The 20,537-nt window shown below is 51.7% G+C and overlaps 1 protein-coding gene across 2 annotated transcripts in view, besides 3 other annotated features; it reads right to left on the bottom strand.

Annotated features, from left to right (window-relative positions):
• Positions 4,167-4,667: an enhancer, noted in NCBI's record as "H3K4me1 hESC enhancer chr19:46430224-46430724 (GRCh37/hg19 assembly coordinates)". NCBI's record gives its function as "activates a minimal SCP1, AML or CMV promoter by ChIP-STARR-seq in naive H9 embryonic stem cells {active_cell/tissue: H9 hESC(naive)}" and the evidence as "EXISTENCE:reporter gene assay evidence [ECO:0000049][PMID:30033119]".
• Positions 4,973-5,042: an enhancer, noted in NCBI's record as "active region_14831". NCBI's record gives its function as "activates an Ori minimal core promoter by ATAC-STARR-seq in GM12878 lymphoblastoid cells {active_cell/tissue: GM12878}" and the evidence as "EXISTENCE:reporter gene assay evidence [ECO:0000049][PMID:35858748]".
• The window catches only part of NOVA2 (NOVA alternative splicing regulator 2), a 40,132-nt gene continuing 30,529 nt past the window's right edge, over positions 10,935-20,537 (bottom strand). For both annotated transcript variants that reach the window (NM_002516.4, XM_006723230.4), the window contains one exon: positions 10,935-18,146. In NM_002516.4, the coding sequence (NP_002507.1) occupies positions 17,064-18,146 (1,083 nt within the window). In that variant the 3' untranslated portion in view covers positions 10,935-17,063. The remainder of the gene's footprint in view (positions 18,147-20,537) is intronic.
• Positions 16,924-17,023: a transcriptional cis regulatory region, noted in NCBI's record as "silencer 7 or peak_14115 region targeted for CRISPR/Cas9 genome editing". NCBI's record gives its function as "negatively regulates DMPK gene expression in K562 erythroleukemia cells {active_cell/tissue: K562}" and the evidence as "EXISTENCE:mutant phenotype evidence [ECO:0000015][PMID:32103011]".

Consider the following 20,537-nt stretch of genomic DNA (forward strand, 5'->3'; position numbering starts at 1 on the left):
TTACTGTGACCTACAGGCTCCTAGGTGATATGTGTCCCCTCTTCTCACCTTCCCTGGGATCTCTATGATCTCATTTTCTATTGCATTTGGCTCCAGTTGCTCACTCCTCTGTAGCCACCCAGGTGTCATTTCTCTCTCTCTCTCTTTTTTTTTTTTTTTTTTTTTTGAGACAGAGTCTCTTTCTGTCTCCCAGGCTGGAGTGCAGTGGCGTGATCTCTGCTCACTGCAACCTCCGCCTCCCAGGTTCAAGTGATTCCCCTGCCTCAGCCTCCGGAGTAGCTAGGATTACAGATGCCTGCCACCATGCCCAGCTAATTTTTGTATTTTTAGTAGAGACGGGGTTTCACCATGTTGGCCAGGCTCGTCTTGAACTCGTGGCCTCAAGTGATCCACCTGCCTCAGCCTCCCAAAGCTGAGGCTAAAGGGTGAGCCGCCATGTTTTTAAAAATATTTGCCTAAAAATGTTTTTAAAAACATTTGCTATATCATGGACTGAATTGTGTCTCCCCAAATTCATATGTTGAAGCCCTAACACCTAGGACCTTAGAATGTGACTATATTTGGATATAGGACCATTATTTTGTATTTATTTATTTATTAAAAAAATTTTTTTTTGTAGAGATGCAGTCTCACTGTATTGCCCAGGCTGGTCTTGAACTCCTAGACTCAAGCGATTCACTGGCCTTGGCCTCCTAAAGTTCTGGGATTACAGGTGTCAGCCACCGCATCTGGAGACAGGGCCTTTAAGGAGGTAATTTAAAAGGTGGCTGAGTGGGGCTCGGTGGCTCACGCCTGTAATCCCAGCACTTTGGGAGGCCAAGGCGGGCAGATCATGAGGTCAGGAGTTCGACACCAGCTTAGCCAATATGGTGAAACCCGTCTCTACTAAAAACACAAAATTGGCTGGGCGTGGTGGCACACGCCTGTAGTCTCAGCTACTTGGGAGGCTGAGGTAGGAGAATCGCTTGAACCTGGGAGGCAGAGATTGCAGTGAGCTAAGATCGCCACGCTGCACTCCAGCCTGAGTGACAGAGCGAGACTCCTTCTCAAAAAAATACAAATAAAAAATAAATAAAAGGAGTCTGTTAGGGTGGACTCTAATCCAATCTGACTAGTGTCCTTATAAGAAGAGGGGATTGATGGTGGCTCATGCCTGTAATCCCAGCACTTTGGGAGGCCAAGGTGGGTGGTCAGGAGATCCAGACCATCCTGGCTAACATGGTGAAACCCTGTATCTACTAAAAATACAAAAAATTACCTGGGCATGGTGGCGGGCACCTGTAGTCCCAGCTACTTGGGAGGCTGAGGCAGGAGAATGGCGTGAACCCGGGAGGCGGAGCTTGCAGTGAGCCGAGATTGCGCCACTGCACTCCAGCCTGAGCGACAGAGCGAGACTCTGTCTCAAAACAAACAAACAAACAAACAAACAAACAAACAAACAAAGAAGAGGGGATTGAAACATACAAAGAGACACTAGACACTCTGTGCACAGAGGAAAGGCCATGTGAGGACCCAGAGAGAAGGCAGCGATTTGCCAAGGAGAGAGGCCTCCGAAGAAACCAAATCTGTTGACACCTTGTTCTTGAACTCCTAGCCTCCAAAATTGTGAAAAAATAAATCTCTCTTGTTTAAAGTCACCCAGTTTGTGGTATTTTATGGCAGCCGTAACAAACTAATACAATATACATTCTTAAAGTTATTTTTGCAAGGTATAAAATTCTACATTATTCCTTCTTTCCCTGTGTACATAAGATATTTAAAAATATATAAAATTCTACATTAGACGTTCTGTTCTTTCAGCACATTGAAGATTTCATTTTACACTCCTGTGATTTCTACTGGTGCTGTTGAGAAGTCACCATTTAGCCTAACAACCTTCCATTTCCTCCTGTGGTCGCTTTAAATTTTTTTTTTTTTTTTTGGGATGGAGTGTTGCTCTGTTGCCCAGGCTGGAGTGCAGTGGTCCGATCTCGGCTCACTGCAACCTCCACCTTGCAGGTTCAAGCAATTCTCCTGCCTCAGCCTCCCGAGTAGCTGAGATTACAGGAGCCCACCACCACGCCTGGCTAAATTTTCTATTTTTAGTAGAGACGAGCTTTCACATATTGGCCAGGCTGGTCTCGAATTCCTGACCTCAGGTGATCTGCCTGCCTTGGCCTCCCAAAGTCCTGGGATTACAGGCATGTTTGGAATCTGCTGGCCTCCTCTAGTTGTGATCTGGTGTCTTTCATCAGTTCTGGAAAAATTTCAACTACTCTCTCTTCAGATCTGATCTCTGTCCCCTTCTCTCTCTCTTTTCCTTATAGGATTGCTAATTTTTGTTTATTTTCAGTGGAGATGAGGTTTTGCCATGTTGCCCAAGCTGGTCTCAAACTCCTAGACTCAAGCTTCTCAACGTGCTGTGATTACAGGTGTGAGCCACCATGACTCATGACTGTTTTAATACTGGTGTCTGATCTCCCAGCATCTAAAGTCTGAGCCACACCTTTTCTGTTCTTTTGATTCTTATTGGTGTCATATTTCCCTGTGACCTGATTATGTCGGCCTGATGATTATTGACCTTTGCATTTTTTTTTTTTTTTTTTTTTTTTTTAGTGGAGTCTCCCTCTTTTGCCCAGGCTGGAGTGCAGGGGCGTGATCTTGGCTCGCCACAACCTCCACCTCCTGGGTTCAAGCGATTCTCCTGCCTCAGTCTCCGGAGTAGCTGGGATTACAGGTGCGTGCTACTACGGCTGGCTAATTTTTGTATTTTTAGTAGAGACGGAGTTTCACCATGTTGGCCAGGCTGGTCTCGAACTCCCAACCTCAAGTCATCCGCCTGTCTCGGCCTCCCAGAGTGCTGGGATTACAGGTGTGAGCCACCGCGCCCGGCCGACCTTTGCATTTAACTGGGGAATTTCCCCTGGGCCTGAGTTGAATGCATGGATTCCAGGGTCTGTGTTTGCTTTGGTTAGGCACCCCTCAGACACTTCCAGTTACAGCCTCTCCAAACATGGTTCTGGTTTCTTGTTCCTTGACTCATCCAGTTATCTACACTGGGGGTGTCAACACTGTTCTTGGGCCATTCTGAAGCCACAACTTCTCAGGGACTTTTTTTTCTTCCTTATCCCATTCTGCTCAGTGTTGATGCTGCTACCTTTGGAGTTGGGACTTGGAGTTGGGACAGGGACAGGTTTAGGTCTGGCTCGAACTCACTCAGCAGAAAGCACTTTGGGGTCCCAGCTTAGTGAAAGGAGGGTCTTTCTTTGCACTTCCTATCTAAGCCAGGCCCTGGAGGCCACAGTACTGAAATCCAATCATATGCTCCCAGCAAACCCGTTGAAGAAACAACCACCTTTTTTGTGTTCTTCTAGCCACCCTGTTTACACTGCACATTTTACAGGTGTTATGTCCTGTCTTTGCATTTCATCAGTGCTTTCTTTTAACTTTTTATTTGGAGAGAATTGTAAAGTCACAAGTTGTCATAATAAATAATGGAGATCTTCGTGTCCTTTCCTCAGTTTTCCCTGATGGTAACATTTTCCACAACTGTAGTACAATACCACAACCAAGATATAGACATCGATACAATCCACTGATGTTGTTCAGATTTTACACTTATTTGTACTCATTTGTGTGTGTGTACTTGTTTTTTGTTTGTTTGTTTGTTTGTTTTTTGAGAGAGAGTCTCGCTCTGTCTCCAGGCTGGAGTGCAGTGGCACGATCTCGGCTCACTGCAACCTCCACCTCCTGGGTTCAAGCGATTCTCCTGCCTCAGCTTCCTGAGTAGCTGGGATTACAGGCGCCTGCCACCGCGCTCTGCTAATTTCTGTATTGTCAGTAGAGACAGGGTTTCACCATCTTGGCCAGGCTAGTCTTGAACTCCTGACCTCGTGATCCACCCGCCTTGGCCTCCCAAAGTGCTGGGATTACAGGCGTGAGCCACTGCGCCCGGCCAATAAATGTATTTTTTTAAATGACTAGGTACCTCCTGAGAAGGATGCAGCTCCATTTCCCTACAGTTGGAAGCTCATTGGTTAAGAGAAAGAACAGTGAAGAGAAAATGGGGTTGAGATGGCCGCAGCTTTCTGGAGAGTAAAGCTGAGTGGTCAATTACTTCTGGCCAACTGAGGGCCCTACTCTGCTCCAAACCGAAACCATAATCCCCCACTGTGGCCACTCCAACTCTAGCCAGTAACTCACCGGTCTCTTTCGGTTCACGTTGCCTACCTGGAGGTGCTTGATCTTTCCACCTGCAGGGAGAGCAGCTGAGAAATGCCAAAGCATGGGTCCTGTTCCTGGCTTGTCTGTGGAACTACGGGACACCCATGTCTTACCTCTCCCTCCTCTTCTTCCTTAGGGATCTGAGCTTCTGGTTCAGCTGAGAGTGGGGTGAAGGTCAAGAGGGAGATCCCCGATAGTAAGGTTGGAACTGAGGATGAGGATAATGGTGAGGCAGGGGGCTATGAGAATTGGCACTGGTCATACAGGTGGTGACCAAGAAAAAGGACAGAGAAGGCCATAGAGATGGAAGAATTGAAATAAAACGAGCGTGGGGGCCAGGCACGGTGGCTCGCCTGTAATGCCAGCACTTTGGGAGGCCGAGGCAGGTGGATCACCTGAGGTCGGGAGTTCGAGACCAGCCTGGCCAACGTGGCAAAACCCCATCTCTACTAAAAATACAAAAATTAGCCGGGCGTGGTGGTGGGTGCCTGTAGTCCCAGCTACTCGGGAGGCTGAGGCAGGAGAATCGCGGAGGTTGCACTGAGCCGAGATCGCGCCATTGCACCCCAGTCTGGGCGACAGAGCGAGACTCTGTCTCAAACTAAACAAAAACAAAAACAAATTCTGGAGAGTGAAAAAGATGGGGGGGAAAATCAAACCAAGGAGACAGAACACACACGAAGACAGCAAGTGAGATTATACATGCACGTAAAAACAGAGATGGACAGAGAGAGAGGGCGTGCAACCACGTGGAGGAGGTGTGGCGCCTCTCAACATCTATTCCACTCTCCTAGCGCACCTTCCTGCGACTGCAGCGGCTGGAGGGCTCAAAACTACGTTTCCCAGAATGCCTTGTGGCTGCGCATGTGGCCGGAGGTTAGGTTCCACCAATCAGGTGCCTCCGCGGGAAGCTTGAATTTCTTACCGAAGTAAGCTGGGCGAGAGGCAGCCCGAAGGCCAGTGCAGATCCCGGCGAGAGGCTGCGGCGGTGGAGCCGGCTGGCGGCTTCCTGATCGCGCAGGAGGAGCAGCGGTTCCTGGACGGCCCTTTCTGAGCGCTGGATTTGAGAATGCCCTGGAGGCTCAGCCTAGATTCTGTTTCTTCTGAGAGGCTCTGTGTCCCTTAATAAGTCCTTTTTGCTTACACTGTCCCAAGTGAATTCTGTTCGCGCCTCTGAGCAACGATGGGTACACAGACAGGGAGAAATAGATGCAGACACGGACAGAGACAGGGAAAGTGATTCAGGGAGACACACAGAGACCCCATCCCTGCGAAGAGACAAGGAGAAAGACAATTCTGCAGAAGTGGGGTGGAGATGCAGGAAAAAAAATCAATGGGAGAAGGAAGACCTGGTTAGACAGACACTCAGAGAAATACGGAAGATAACAGGCAGAGAGGAGTGAGAGGCAAGGGCAGGTGGGCCAGAAACAGGGACACGGAGACCTCACCAGAATGCTGGCGTGAAGGTGTTGGTTGAGAGGCCTCATTTTAAATATTTATTTATTTATTTATTTAGGGACGGACTCTCGGTCTGTCGCCCAGGCTGGAGTGTAGTGGCGCAATCTCCCCTCACTGCAACCTCCACCTCCGGGTTCAGCAATTCTCCTGCCTCAGCCTCCCGAGTAGCTGGGATTACAAGCATCTGCCATCTCGCCTGGCTAATTTTTGTATTATTAGTAGAGACGGGGTTTCACCATGTTGGCCAGGCTGGTCTCGAACTCCTGACCTCAGGTGATCCGCCCACCTCGGCCTCCCAAAGTGCCGGGATTACAGGTGTGAGCCACCGCGCCCGGCCGGAGAGGCCTCTTTAGAGAACAGACTTCTCTGAAGGCATGGCAGTTGAAGGCAGGAGAATGGAGGGGACTTTGGAGAAATCTCTGACTTGCTAGACTCTCTGATTTTGGTGGCAGCGAGCATTTGCCTGGCAGAACGTCTCTTTGTCCCAGCACCTATTCCCAGCCCAAAGCTTCATCAGCTCTGACTGCGGAGGGGGTAGTGCCCCTGAAAGTGTTTCCCATTCTCCATCACTTGCCCCTGAGGCCTTGTCCCCCAAAACCAGCCCCCACTTGACAGCTTGGTAGGAGTGAGAACAGTGACTCAACTGGTTTTAATGTGTGAGGCAGATTCCAGGAGTAGTGACTGACTGAGGAACTAAGAGGAGTTGGGGGTGGCGGGAGGGACAGAAGGACTGCAAAACAGGGACACCAACGAAAAAAGAGAGGGAAACGTAGGGACAGAAAGCAGGGAGCGTGTGAGGCAGGGAAAGTGGAGACTGAGAAACTAGGGGCAGAGAGAGGGAGGGATCCAGGGGCTGAGAGAGGGGACAGAGGGGAGACAGAGGTGGGGGGCAGAGGGACAGAGAGGAGGGGCAGAGGAGGGGGACAGAAAGACAGAGAGGGGGAGGATGAACAGAGAGAAGGAGACAGAAGGACAGAGAGAGGGAGACAGAGGGACAGGGGGGACAGAGGGACAGGATGGGGAGCAGAGGGACAGAGGGAGGGAGGATGGAGGAACATAGAGAGGGGACAGAGAGATGGGGGGCACAGAGGGACAGAGAAGGGTGACAGAAGGGCAGAGAGGAAAGGGATACAGGAGTTACGGGCAGTAAGCTGGGCATGCCCCAGTTGGGATTCCAGATGGTGGACGCCTCGGCTCCTTTAACCAGTTCTCCTGGCTTTTTTTGTTGCCCCTCAGATTTCTTTTTGTTTTCCTCCACCTAAGGTTGCCAGGTAAAATACAGGATGCCCAGTTTCATTTGAATTTTAGATAAGCAACAATTCATATTGTAGCATACGTATTGCCCACATATTGCATGGGACATTTTTACACTTTTTTTTTTTTTTGAGATGGAATTCCACTCTGTCACCCAGGCTGGAGTGCCATGGTTTGATCTCAGCTCATTGCAACCTCTGCTTCTTGGGTTCAAACGATTCTCCTGCCTCAGTATCCCAAGTAGCTGGAAGTACAGGCGTGTGCCACCACGCCCGGCTAATTTTTGTATTTTTAGTAGAGATGGGGGTTTCACCATGTTGGCCAGGCTGGTCTCAAACTCCTGACTTCAGGTGATCTGCCTGCCTCCACCTCCCAAATTGCTGGGATTATAGGTGTGAGCCACCGCGCCCGGCCTAAAAAGTTCTTTTAATCTGAAATTCAAATGCCACTGGACACACAGTATTTTTATTTGCTAAACCTTGGCAACCTTATCTCCGTCACTTTCCAGTTTCTGCCTCTTTTTCATTTTCTATTTGTGTGTGCCTGCCTCTCCCTCTCTTCTAGTTCATCTCCACCATCTCTATTCTCCTTCCTCTGTTTTTTATTTTTGTTTGAGACAGGGTCTTCCTCTGTTACCCAGGCTGGAGTGCAGTGGTGTGATCTCACTGCAAACTGCCTCCAGGGATCAAGCGATCCTTCCACCTCAGCCTCCCAAGGAGCTGGGACTACAGGCACGCACCACCACACCTAGCTAACTTTTATGTTTTTTGTAGAAACAGGGTTTCGTCATGTTGTCCAGGATGGCCTCAAACTCCTGAGCTCACGAGATTCTCCCACCTCTGCCTCCCAAAGTGCTGGGATTACAGGCATGAGCCACTGCGCCTGGCCTCCCCGTCCCCTCTTAATGACCTGGCTCCTCTCATGTGTAGAGACCTCTCTTGAGACACCCCCACCAGGTCCCTGCCTAGGCCCCTTCCTCCCTCCTTCCCCCTTCCCAGCCCTCTTTCTAGGGCTGTCTCTGTGCTCCAGGCAACTTCTCTGTCTTCTTTCTCCATCTCTCTTCTCATTCAGATCCCCCACCTTTGCAATTCTCTCTATACTCCCCTCACCCCCTGCCCAGAGGAGAAGGTTTGGGGGCTTTGAGGGAGCTAGGAATCTCCCATTACTCACCTTCATCCTGACCTCATCTCCTTTCCTTTCCATTTCCTGGGCCAGAGACATCATGAGGGTTTTCCAAAGCCACACAGCAGAACAGAAACACCCGCCCTGTCCCTCCAAATCCCTTCCAATTTCCCAGCTTCTTGGTGGAAAATTCCTTTACTCTTCCTGAAAATGGCCTGGCTTGGCAATGTTTCTGAATACCAGGCAATGCTTGAGGGTCACAGGCCAGGACCAGAGGCGCCTGTGGCTCATGGGATGGTAGACTTTTGGACACCTACTATGTGCTGAGAGTGAGGGATATGGCCTGTGGGCTGTAAATACAACAACAGTGATGTGTCCTGGGCATCACCATATCCCTAGGCCCAGAACACAGTAGGTGTTCAATAAATACCTGTTGAATGAACGAATGAATGAGTGGATGGACACATCCCCAGCAGGTGGAGCCTCATCTCCATGTCTGCCCTCCTCTTCATCCCTATCGCTCTTGCTTACTTTATCCTAGCCTGAGTCCCCCTTCTTCCATCCCCCTCTGTTGGGCTTGTCCTTTTCTGGAGTCCTGTTATTGTTATTTTTATCAGCTGGAGGGGGTCTCTGGTGACTACCATGCGCTGAGCGTTTTCTCTATGTCAGGTACTGAAGGGGTGAGTGACATGTAGAATCCTTCTGGAATATTCCAGAAGGCAAGTACAGCTTTCTAGGGCGTTTTCCAGATGTGGAAATTGGGAGCCAGGGAGAGGAAGAGAAAGTGCCTTGGGTCACACCAGAATCCAAGCGTCTGGCCTCACCCCACCCAGCCTCCTTGGCCTTGGTCTCTTGTTTCTCTGTCATTATCTGCCAAGCTGCATCTCTGACACCTCCAAAATGTAAGGCAATTACTTATCTTTTTTTTTTTTTTTATGAGACAGGGTCTTGCTCTGTTGCCCAGGCTGGAGTGCAGTGGTGCAATCACAGCTCACTGCAGCCTCGACCTCTCAGGCTCAAGCGATCCTCCTGCCTCAGCCTCCCGAGTAGCTGGGACTATAGGCATGTACCAACACACCTGGCTAATTTTGAAGTTTTTTGTGAGACAGAGTCTCAAACTCCTGGGCTCAAGCGATTCTCCTGCCATGGCTTCCCAAAGTGCTGGGATTACAGGTGTGAGCCACCACATCCAGTCAGGCAATTTTTTTTTTTTTTTTTTTGAGACGGAGTCTCGCTCTGTTGCCCAAGCTGGAGTGCAGTGGTGCGATCTTGGCTCACTGCAGCCTCCGCTTCCTGGGTTCCAGTGATTCTCCTGCCTCAGTGTTCTGAGTAGCTGGGATTACAGCCACCTGCCACCATGTCCAGCTAATTTTTGTATTTTTAGTAAAGAAATGGTTTCACCATGTTGGCTGGTCTCGAACTCCTGACCTCAAGTGATCCGCCTGCCTCAGCCTCCCAAATTGCTGGGATTACAGGTGTGAGCCACCACACCCAGCCAGGCTAGTAATTTTTAAATATTTGCTCAGGGGTTGCAAACGTCCAGAGCCTAGGCATGTGAGATAAATGAGCAGTGCCGGTCAGGAAGGGGCTAAGCCTCTCTGCCCTGGGTGAGTGGCAGTGGCTGCCCCAGGCCAGCCCATTATGGGCAGGTGGCAATTGCAATCAAAGCTATCACATGGCATTTCTCAAGAGGGTCTTGAAACCCATGTTTTCAAAAGTCTCCCAATGTTTAAATGCTGGCAACAATTCCACAAAACACTGTTTGGGTCAAATGAAATTATGGGTACCGCACCTGCCTGTTGGCCGATGGTTTGCAACCTCTGAATTCATTTGAGTCCCACGTGTCAGGTTTTGTGTTAAGAAGAATTTCCCAATTCCAGTAGACTGTATGCTCCAAAAAGCCAGAGATACCTGGGTCTGTTTTGTTCATTGCTTTATCTTCAGCACCTAGAACAGTGCCTTATGCATCATAGGTCTTCAGTAATCATTTTTAAAAAAGTGAATAGTGTATCGATCCAAGCATAAGCCATATGATGTAGAAATAACAATTTAAAAAATCCCCATGTTACAGATGGGGACCTGAAGGCTCAGAGGAGCAAAGGACTGAGGGTAACACAGCAGCACGGGGATCTAAACCCATAGCTCACCTGACTCGAAAACCTCCACCTTGGCCTATCCTGATTCTACCTGGCGTTGTGTATTTGCAGGGCTGTGTGTGGGGATGTGCGTCCAAGACAAAAGCCTGTTTGTGGGACTGTGGCTCTGCATATGTGTGTGGTGGTGGTGGTGTCGGTTCTCCTGACTGGACACTGAGGCCCTGGAAGCTACATTTTTTTTTTTTTTGAGACAGTCTTGCTTTGTTGCCCAAGCTGGAGTGCAATGGTGCGATCTTGGCTTACTGCAACTTCCGTCTCCCAGGTTTAAGCAATTCTCCTGCCTCAGCCTCCCAAGTAGCTGGGACTATAGGCGCGTGCCACCATGCCTAGCTAATTTTTTGTATTTTAGTAGAGACTGGGTTTCACCATGTTGGCCAGGCTGGTATCGAACTCCTGAGCTCAGGTGATCTGCCCGCCTCGGCCTCCCAAAGTGCTGGGATTACAGGCGTGAGCCACTGCGCCCGGCCTCTGGAAGCTAAACTTGAGCACCTGCTTCTCTTCAATCACAGTTACTCCGGATGCTCACCCCGTCCAGAGAGAACAGTCCTCCCTCCCCAGCTCCCCCATCTGGGACCATCCTCAGGGGTCCCCCCACCCTCTTCCCCTAAATGCCCAGAGCCCTGGGGGAAAGGGGGAAAGAATTTAGGATGAGGGTGGAGGTGCAGGGAGGAGGGAGAGGGAAGGGGATGGGTTAAGAAGGAGTGTGTGATGTCAAGCAAAAAAGACAACATTAGACACAGATGCTGAGATGGCGTTTATCGCGGCAAAAAAAGGTGAAGTCGCCGAGGGGAAAGGGGTGGGGAAAGGGGGTGTGGTGGGGGCTGGGGTGGGGGCCATGGAAGCTAATACATGGTGCACTAGGTCACACAACGGACACTGGGGGTGGGTGAGTGGGTGGGGTGGGCGTGGCCCAGGCATGGCAATGTGGGGAGTGGGAGGAGACGGCAGTGCACCCCAGCCAGGAGCTTCTGGAGGTGGTGGGCAGGAGGCGGGCGGCGTCTCTGGTCGCAGAGGATGGAAGGAATCAGTTAGAGGGGGTTGAATGGAGGCACTGGAGGCATGGCCACATTCCAAGAAATGGAATGAAGGAGTGGGACAGCAGGCAGGGGGCCAGCCTGGGGCCTGGGCCTTTTAATCTAAGGACTGGGGAGAACCAAGGGACCTTAGAGGTCCTCCAGTCCTCCCCATATTCCAAGAGGGAGAACAAGCCTGGAGAGGAGGCTACCTTAAGGTCCTAAGAAGGATTTAGCAATCGGTTCTCCAAAGATGGCCCTGCAGCCTCCCCTGTCCCCCATTCTTCTGCTACCCTGTCTCCAACAGAGAAAGGGGGAAGAGAGGTTCTAGCTCCTCTGACTCCACCATTATCTCACTGAGGCTCCTCAGGGAAATTGGAGGATGAATCCATTTCACAGAAGGGGAAAACGGAGGCATCCTCCCAGACTACACCTTTCCACACCTCTCCCACCACCCTGCCGGGGAATCTATGCACCCCATCCCTCTAGAGTAATACTGATAGCTTGAAATCCTTAGCGATGGGGACAGGTGAGGGGACATACCTTAAAATTCTCCCAAATCGACCCGGGATGTGGGCCATGCCTCCAGTGGCCTGAGATGCCAACATAAAGAAAAGAAAAATGACTCCCCACGTCCCCTGGCTCAAACCCAGTACAAAAGTGACTATTTACAATGAAGGCGTGGGGAGTGTGTGGGGGGCACACGAAGGAGGGGGTCAGAGTGAGCGCTCCATTTGAGGGAGGCCACGCCCCTGGACCCGCCTTTTAAAGGGACAAAGCCAAATAGCATAGATATTTATAGAGGATGTCAATCCCCAGGGTGGGGCAGACCCTAGGGGTGAGGGATGGGGGTGGGGCATGGGATGGGGTGCGGGTGGGGAGGCATGGGTGGTGGGAGGAGATGGAGGAAAGGTAGCAACTGCCCCTAGCCTCCCCCCTCCCCCCTGCCGGACACACAGTTTTCCGTGGGATGAACACAGAAAGGGTTAATCAAAAAGAGTTCGATGAGCGAGTCTGACGGTCGAGTGGGGCGGGCTGGAGCAATGAGGCCGCAGGTCCCGGTGGCCGGTGGTGATGGAGTCACTTAGAAGATGAGAGGTTGGTGGTTTTGGGGGGAGAGGTGGGGTAGGGAAAGGGGTGGGGGAGGGGGGGTTAGGCAGTCCCCCCCCAGTTATCTCTGGGAGACAAGTGTCCTGGACTGGTTGAGAAGGGATTAAAAACCAGCAGCCTTCACCACCATGACCCCACAGATTCTCTTCCCATTTCCCTCCCTGCCACCCAGCAATCTCCAATGCAACTTGCAGGGGACACTAAGACAGACCATACACACCAGCAGTGGCGCCCGGAGACAAGCCCTCTCCAACCACGGCGTGGAGACAGCTGACCACAGTGCAAACGGATCGCGATAGCAGGGCTGGGTGTTATCACCCCAGTAAACCAGTGTCCCTGGCTCGCCTGTGCCCCAGCTTGGGTATCGCGATCCCGTTCTCCCCATCGTGACATCCAGTCCAGGCTTTCAGGACAGCGAGCCCGGTTTCCAGGCAGGTGCTTGTCGAAGGCCTGGCTGGCTGTACCGACAGGCGGGCACTCAGTCAGCAGCCTGGACGCCCCAACTGCCATCCTCATCGCCACTCTTGTTAATACTTTTGCCACTGCACAGTCTATCACAGCCTCTAATCCCGGTCCTGAAACAGCAATCATCCATTCAGGGGGACTCCTCTCATTTTCCAAACAATTGGCCACCAATCAAAACAAAGTAAGAAGGAGGATGTGGGATGGAGGAACAGGGAGGAGAAACAGAATGAGGGGATATTGAAGGATTTGGTGGTCCAGAGGGGAGAGGAAATACACCTCGGAGATAAGCGACACCCTGGTGTTCCAAGTAGAGGTCCCCAACCATCTATAGGTCGGCTTTTATCAACATCCACTTGGGATACCCATAATTCCCAACTACAAGTCCAGGGTAGGCGTTAGGGCAGATAGAAACGGCAAAATCATTGTCTTCTGATCACCACCCCTACTAATTATTGCAGTGAAGCCTCCTTGCCCATGTAGAGGTGGCTGGGACAGGGCAGAAGAAGGTGGCTGGGCAGGTTGGCTCAGAGCCCCCTGAGATGGGGGATGAAGGAGGTTAATTTGGCACATCGAACCCCCTCTTCTCATAGGAGCTTTGAGGTCCTTCTCTTGAATCCAGTTGGTACCGCCCCTTGGGCTAGCAGAGGAGGAGTTGAGCTTGTCTCCTCCTCCCCAGTTTCCATAGATTTGCCAGGAAGTTGGCAAGTGGGATTCTCCTTGGCTGGTGGAATTTGGGGGGACCCAAAAGGATAGGGGTAAGTTGAAAAGGAGAGCTTTTTTCTGTCTTTTTTTTTTTTTCTTACAAAGATTCTAAGAAAAACTCAGGGTGGGAGGGCTGTGGAAGGGGGACCCAATTTAGCTCCATGTCCACACTTTTGCAATGCCTCTTAGGGACCTCCTCAAAGAGAAATGGTCCCATTTCCTCCCCTCTATCCAAGGTCCTCTCCCCCCAGAGCGGCTCAGTTCCAAGGAAGTTTGGCACTTTTTTTTTTTTTTAAATGGGGAAATTGGGGAGAGAGAGTTGAGACATTTGAGGAAAGGAGGAAGACAGACAAAGACTAAGATAGAGACAGGACAGAAAACAATGGGAACCACACGGAGGAAAAAAAAATAGAAAGTCATAGGGAGCCAGACAAAGAAAGGGAGGAAGACACTTGGAGAAGGTATGGGAAGCTAGAGGGCAAATGAGAAGGAATAGGGAGATAATCCAATGCAGCAAACACTTATTAAGCACCTACTGGGTGCTGAAGAGAAGGGTGCAAGGAGGCCACTCAGAGACTCTGAGATCGGATTGGCTAATAGGGAGACGGGGAAAAAAAAAGAGATGATGGGTTTTTCAATAATCCTCATCCCTGACCCCACATCTGTGTCCCCTCTGGACAAACTGCAGCACAAAAGATTGAGGTCAGATTGCAGAAGGGACTTTCAAGAGATGGCAAAGATGGTGGAGTGAGTTTCCCAAGGTAAAATGGGGAAAGGTGTGGCTCTCTGCTCACCAACATGGTGAGTGAACTAGCTCACTGAGCTAGCAAAGTATACCTTTCAGATCACCCTGGCTGGCTGGGTAGGGGGTCCCCAAGAAATATGAATAGGGAGGGGTTGTTACACAGACACCCCAAGCAAACACTTTTCAGGAGGCCCAGCCTCCGGAGATGTGTCTGTGTGAGAGGAGTCCTGGACCCGGCTGATTGGGACCCAGACTCCAGTGAATGAGTTTGTAGAAAGCGGCTGCCAAGCGGAGGATGCAAATGATATGCAAATGAGTTCATTCAGATCCCACCTCCCCAGTCCCAGACCTTACTTCACTCTCCCTGGCTCCTTCCCTTCCTCATAGGGTCCTGGGGGGCTGTAGGGGGATATTCCAGCTAGATACTGTAATACTCGCGTGCGGGTAGAGATACTGTGAAATACTGTAAGGTCTTTTGAGAGGTGGAGGGGAGCAATGGCCCACAGAGCCGCCCCCACCTCTAACCCCAAGAGCCCCCAACGGTAGTAGAAGATATGTACAAAGTTACATCAAGAATTGTTTTGGCACTCAGATCTCCATCTGGGTTCAGTCTGGAGATTAGGGGTGGGGCAACAACAATGGGAAGTGGGGGATAGGGGAGGGGAAGTGGGGCCTGCCTCCCACCCTGGAGATGACAAGGGCATGGAAAAAGTCACCCCAGTGCCCAAGTTACAGCCTCCCATCGGGTGGAAGGGCTGGGGTGGGAAATTCAGTGCAAGGTACCTCGAAGGCTATTGCTTTCTAGGGATTTTCACATTTTGATTTGGGGGTGGCTCTCTAGCAAGGGAGAGGGATCTCCTAGGCTTTAGGGGCAGGAATTGTCTCTGTGGCTTTTCTTCCCTCCTTTTTTAGGAGAGAGACAAGGAGGCTGGATTTCCCCCAAAGTCATAGAGAAGAAAAGGGTTTGGAAGACCTAGGAGGCGGACAAATGGGGGAGAGGGTGGGCATGGGGCGCCCCTCCCCCAGAGATGCTGATGATGGAACCAGGGCACTGGGCGCCCTGCTTTGGGTTGGAGAAAGTGGAGGTGGTCTCCAAGGAAGAGAGGGAGATGGGTGGGGGTAGAGGGAGGTCTCAGCTATCCTAGTCTACATGGTTGTCAGGCCCTGAAATCTCAGTCTGCCAACAGGTCCTTAGAGCTGACCACAGCCACAGCACTCAGGGAGCCACTCCTAAACCAACTCTCAAGGCCGCCTGGCTTGTCAGACTCCATCAGAACATTCTAGTTCTCCAGAGCCCCTGGTGAGCACACCAAAACATTCTGATCCATCAGACATCACCGAAGTATGCCAGCTTGCTGGAAGCCACCAAACCAATCTAACCTATCAGACCACACGAAGCATTCTGGCCCAAGGGACCCTACTATGGCTCACTGAACTCTACACCTGGCCATACTGGCCTGACAGAGCCACCACACACTTGGCTCACCCGATTCAATGAAACAAAGCCACGCAGACACAGGCATGCACACAAAAGGCAGGGGTGGGAAGGGAGGTCTTTAACAGTAGTTTGCACTAGGTCCATCTCCCACCCCTCCCTCCAGGGCGAGTTCGCAGACTTGACGTGTTTGAATGGAGATGACCCTGACAATATTGGTTTTTTTCCGTTAGAGTCCTCCAGATTGGATCCAAGTCCCGTGCCTTATTCTCTTCCTAGGAAGACCCCCAGGCCAACACCCACCAAAGAAGGGTGTGGAGGGAGAAGGCAGGTCAGAGACTGGTCACTGTCCAATACAGGAAGTACATGCTTCAGCCTAATGACATCACAGGACGTGACCTCTAGGCATCACCGGAAGTACACCTTCCCATGATATCACCAAAGTGACCTTCAAGGAAGAACTCATTGAGACATCACAGGAAGTACCTGCTCCCTTATGTTCACAGGAAGTAACCTCTGAGGAACTGCTTCCTGTGACATCATAAGGGGTGCCCAGAAGCACCCCAGAAAGTACTCAGTGACATCACAACAGAGACCCTCATTGCCATTACTCTAAGCCATCAGAGATACCACACCAAGTTGATCCAGCCTCTTGCAAGTCTTGCCCACAGGACTGGCCCAATCCCAGAGCTGGCATCCTTCCCAGCAGCACTGTCCCTGCCCCCCCATACAACCTGACAACAAAAGAGTGAACATTCCCACCTAGGAGGGACAGCTCCAGTGGGAGGAGAGTAGCTGAGAAGATCTGGGAACTCTGGGGTCCTTGCTCCAAATGCCCCATTTCAGCTCAGACGCCTCTGCTACCTCTACTCCCATGGCTTCCCTCAGATCTAGAACTGAAAGCAGAGAGGTGGGGTGTTGTGTTTTGGGAAGGCCCCTCATTCTGGGTGACCCAGAGGCTCCCTCCCCTCCTCCCATATGGAAACAAAAACTTATAAAGGGGGAAAAAATCCTTACCAAAAAAAAAAAAAAAAAAAAAAAGGAGGGAAAGAAAGAGAAAATAACGCTTTGTTTTCTATTAAAATCAACAAAATGCAATATATACAGATATCACACAGACCTGGGCCCTGGGACAGGAAGGGTCAGGCCCAGCCAAGCACAGGGAGGGAGGAAGGAGGGGTCAGTTCCGGGCTGGGGAGGGGGCTTCTGAGCCCCCTTCCCAACCGTCACTCAATCCTGCCTATGACTACCAGAAGGGGAGGGTGCAGTCGGGCCTACCCCAGCCCCATCCCAAGAGGAGCAGGACTACACCAAGCTGAGGTCAGGAGTTGGGGGGGAGGAGGAGAGGGAAGAGGAGGAGATGGGAGGAGAGAAAAGGGTGGGAGCACACACCACAGGCCTCATCCCACTTTCTGGGGGTTTGAGGCCCTCACTCCCTGCTCGTAGGTGACCCGCTGACTGATGAGGTATTGAGCGGCTTGCGTGGCCGCGGGGCTGCCCGTGATGGTGACCCGCCGGTTCCGCGTGCCTGGCAGGAACTCGCCCTTCTTGGAGATCTGGATGCGAGCGCCCGTCAGCTCCTGGTACTCCACCAACGTCTTGCCCCCCTTCCCCAGGATGGCTCCCACCAGGTTCTCAGGCACCGCAATCTCCACCAGCTCCTTGGCACTCTCAGCCGCCAGCTTCTCCGCCGTCAGGAAGCCCCCGGCCGCCCCGGCCGCGGCTGCAGCGGCCACCAGCGGGCCGCCCCCTCCGCCCGCCCCGCCGCCCGCCCCGGCCCCGAGGTAGCCGTTGGCGGCTGCGGCCAACGCAAAGGACCCCAGGGCTCCGGGAGGCGGGGGCGGCGGCGGGGCGGCCCCTCCGGCTGGCCCGGCCCCGGCCTCGCCCGCGTAGGATGCCAGGAGGTTGGCGGCGGCGGCGGCTGCTGGGTTGGCCCCGGCGGCCACGGCGGCCAGGACGCCGGAAGCTGCGGCCGAGTTGAGGCCCAGGCCCAGGGAGTTGGTGTTGTAGCCGTAACTTGCCAGCGTGTTAAGCGCCGTGCTGATGGCCAGCAGGTCGGTGCCTGAGAAGGCGGGCAGCGCGGCGGGAAAGGCCCCCACGCCAGCCAGCCCGGCGGGGCCCAGCAGGCCGGAGGCGGCGGCGGCCGACGCTGCGGCCGCGGCTGGCAGCACATCCGCGGGGCTGGCGTACGGAGAGCCGGTGGGGTTGGAGTTGGCCACGGGGCCTGCCACGTTGGCGTAGCTGATGTTGAGGCAGCTGCTGCTCTGGGGGTCTTCTTGTACCTTCTGCACGATGGCGCTCACGGCCTTGTGCACCTGCTCGGGCTCGCCGCTGACCGTCACCACGCGCTCCTGCAGGTTGATGCCCTCCGGCTTCTGGGACAGCTGCACCCATGCTCCTGACTGTTCCATCACGGCTTTCACCGTGGCGCCTCCCTTGCCGATGATCAGGCCCGCCGTGCTGTTGGGGACGATCAGCTTGGCCTGCGTGGGGAGCAAAAGGGAGGGTCTTTAATTTTATTTTTTTAAAAAATTAAATTAAATTAGGCTGGGCACGGTGGCTGTCGCCTGTAATCCCAGCACTTTGGGGGGCTGAGGCAGGCAGATTACTTGAGGTCAGGAGTTCCAGACTAGCCTGGCCAACATGGTGAAACTCCGTCTCTAGTAAAAATCCAAAAATTAGCCAGCTGTGTGTTGGCACATGCCTGTAATCCCAGCTACTCAGGAGGCTGAGGCAGGAGAATCGCTTGAACCCAGGAGAGGGAGGATGCAGTGAGCTGAGCTCGTGCCAAATTGCACTCCAGCCTGAGTGACAGAGGGAGACCCTGTCTCAAAATAAAATAAAATAATATATATATATATATATATAATTTTGTCTATCTATATTAGTAGAGATGGGGCCTTGCGATGTTGCCCAGGCTGGTCTTGAACTCTTGGCCTCAAGGGATCTCCTGCCTTAGCCTCCTAAAGTGTTGGAATTACAGATTTGAGCCACCAAACTGGCGAAGGGAGGGTCTTTACGGTGGCTGGAGACTGAGACGCCCCAGGTCATTCCCTACCCCTCCTCTCCAGCATCCAAAATCAGGCCCAGCATGGCCTTTTGATATGCACCAGTATGGTCCAACTGGTTGTTAAAAATATTGAAATATTTCAGGTCAGGTGCAATGGCTCAGGCCTGTAATCCCAGCACTTTGACAGGCTGAGGTGGGAGGATAACTTGAGCCCAGGAGTTTGAGACCAGCCTGGGCAACATAGCGAGATCTTGCCTCTAACATTAAAATTTTTTTTAAAAAAATTGAAATATATCCACAATGGTTGGTTAATGAATAGCCAGTATTTGAGGTCCCCTCAGTAGCCCCTCAACCACCCTGTCCCATGTACCTGGGACTCTTAGTACTTCCTCTGCGTCCAGCATCTAAAAGCTTAATGGCTAATCCAATGGGGCCCTCCAGGATCTCACTCCAAGCTTGCACAATGGCCCACCCATGCCTTCTAGTGTTACGTACTCTGACTTCCAGCCCTGGAAAAGCCTTCATTAAGCCTTACTTTACAGATGAGCCTCTTGAGGCCCAAGAGGTGAAAGGACTTGTCCTAAGGTTCCCCAGTTAGTGACGGAGCTGAAATCTAGGCTCTTGGGTTCCTGATCCATTGTGCTCCCCTAGACATGGTCTTCTCGTTGAACTCTCTGTTGTTATGGGCTGACACTGTGTCCCCTTCAAATTCATATGTTGAAGGCGTAACTTCCAGTACTTTAGAATTTGACTATATTTGGAGAGAGGGTCTTTAAAGAGATAATTAAGGTAAAATGGGGTCATTAGGGCGGGCCCTAATTTACTGACTGGTGTCCTTATAAGCAGAGGAGATTAGGACACAGATGCACACAGAGGGAAGACTGTGTGAAGACACAGGGAGAAGAAGGTCTAGGAGAGAGGCCTCAGAAGAAACCAACCCTGCTGACACCTTGATCTTGGACTTCTGGCCTCCAGAATCATGAGATATAAATACCTGTTGTTTAGACCACCCAGTCTCTGGCACTTTGTTATGGCAGCCCTAGCAGACTAATCTAGTTGTCCTGTCTGTAAAATGAAGATAACATGAAGGCTTTTGTCTGAGAAGGCAGACGTAAGTGGATGTCTTGGATGTCACACAATGGATCGGGAACCCAAGAATCTAGATTTCAATCTCCTTCTAATTCCTGGGACGGGAACTCTCCAGGATGAAGAAGTTGGTCATTTGAATCTGGTGACCTCTCCTTTCTCAGTTGCAGAGCAGCCATCCTTCAACCACCCATTTGTCCAAGCATCTGCAAGTCTGATCAATCTTAATTCCTGTGGAGACATTTCAAAACCAGTCATGTCCTTTTGCACCTCCGAGAGCATTTCTACACATAAATTCCTCCCTCTCAAAAATCCTTCCCATGTCCCCTTAAACCCTGGGGGTGTCTGAGAAATTTGTGGGGGTGGTGGTTTTGGTTGTTGCAAGGACTGGGGGAAGATGTGGACTGTCAGTGGGGAGGACCATAGGTGTCTGTACCCCACAATGGAGAGTCAGTCCCTCACAAGAAAGAGCTGTCCCAGGCCCTATATGTCTACTTTTTTTTTTTTTTTTTTGAGACGGAGTCTCACTGTGTCACCCAGGCTGGTACACAGTGGTGCGATCTCGGCTCACTGCAATCTCCACCTCCTGGGTTCAAGGGATTCTGCCACCTCAGCCTCCCTAGTAGCTGGGATTACAGGCGCCCACCACCATGCCCAGCTAATTTTTTTGTATTTTTAGTAGAGACAGGGTTTCACCATGTTGGCCAGGCCAGTCTCGAACTCCTGGCCTCAAGTGATCCAGCCACCTCAGCCTCCCAAAGTGCTGGGATTACAGGTG

Source organism: Homo sapiens, chromosome 19 (genome assembly GCF_000001405.40).
Source record: "Homo sapiens chromosome 19, GRCh38.p14 Primary Assembly".
In the NCBI taxonomy this organism is placed as follows: Eukaryota; Metazoa; Chordata; class Mammalia; order Primates; family Hominidae; genus Homo; species Homo sapiens.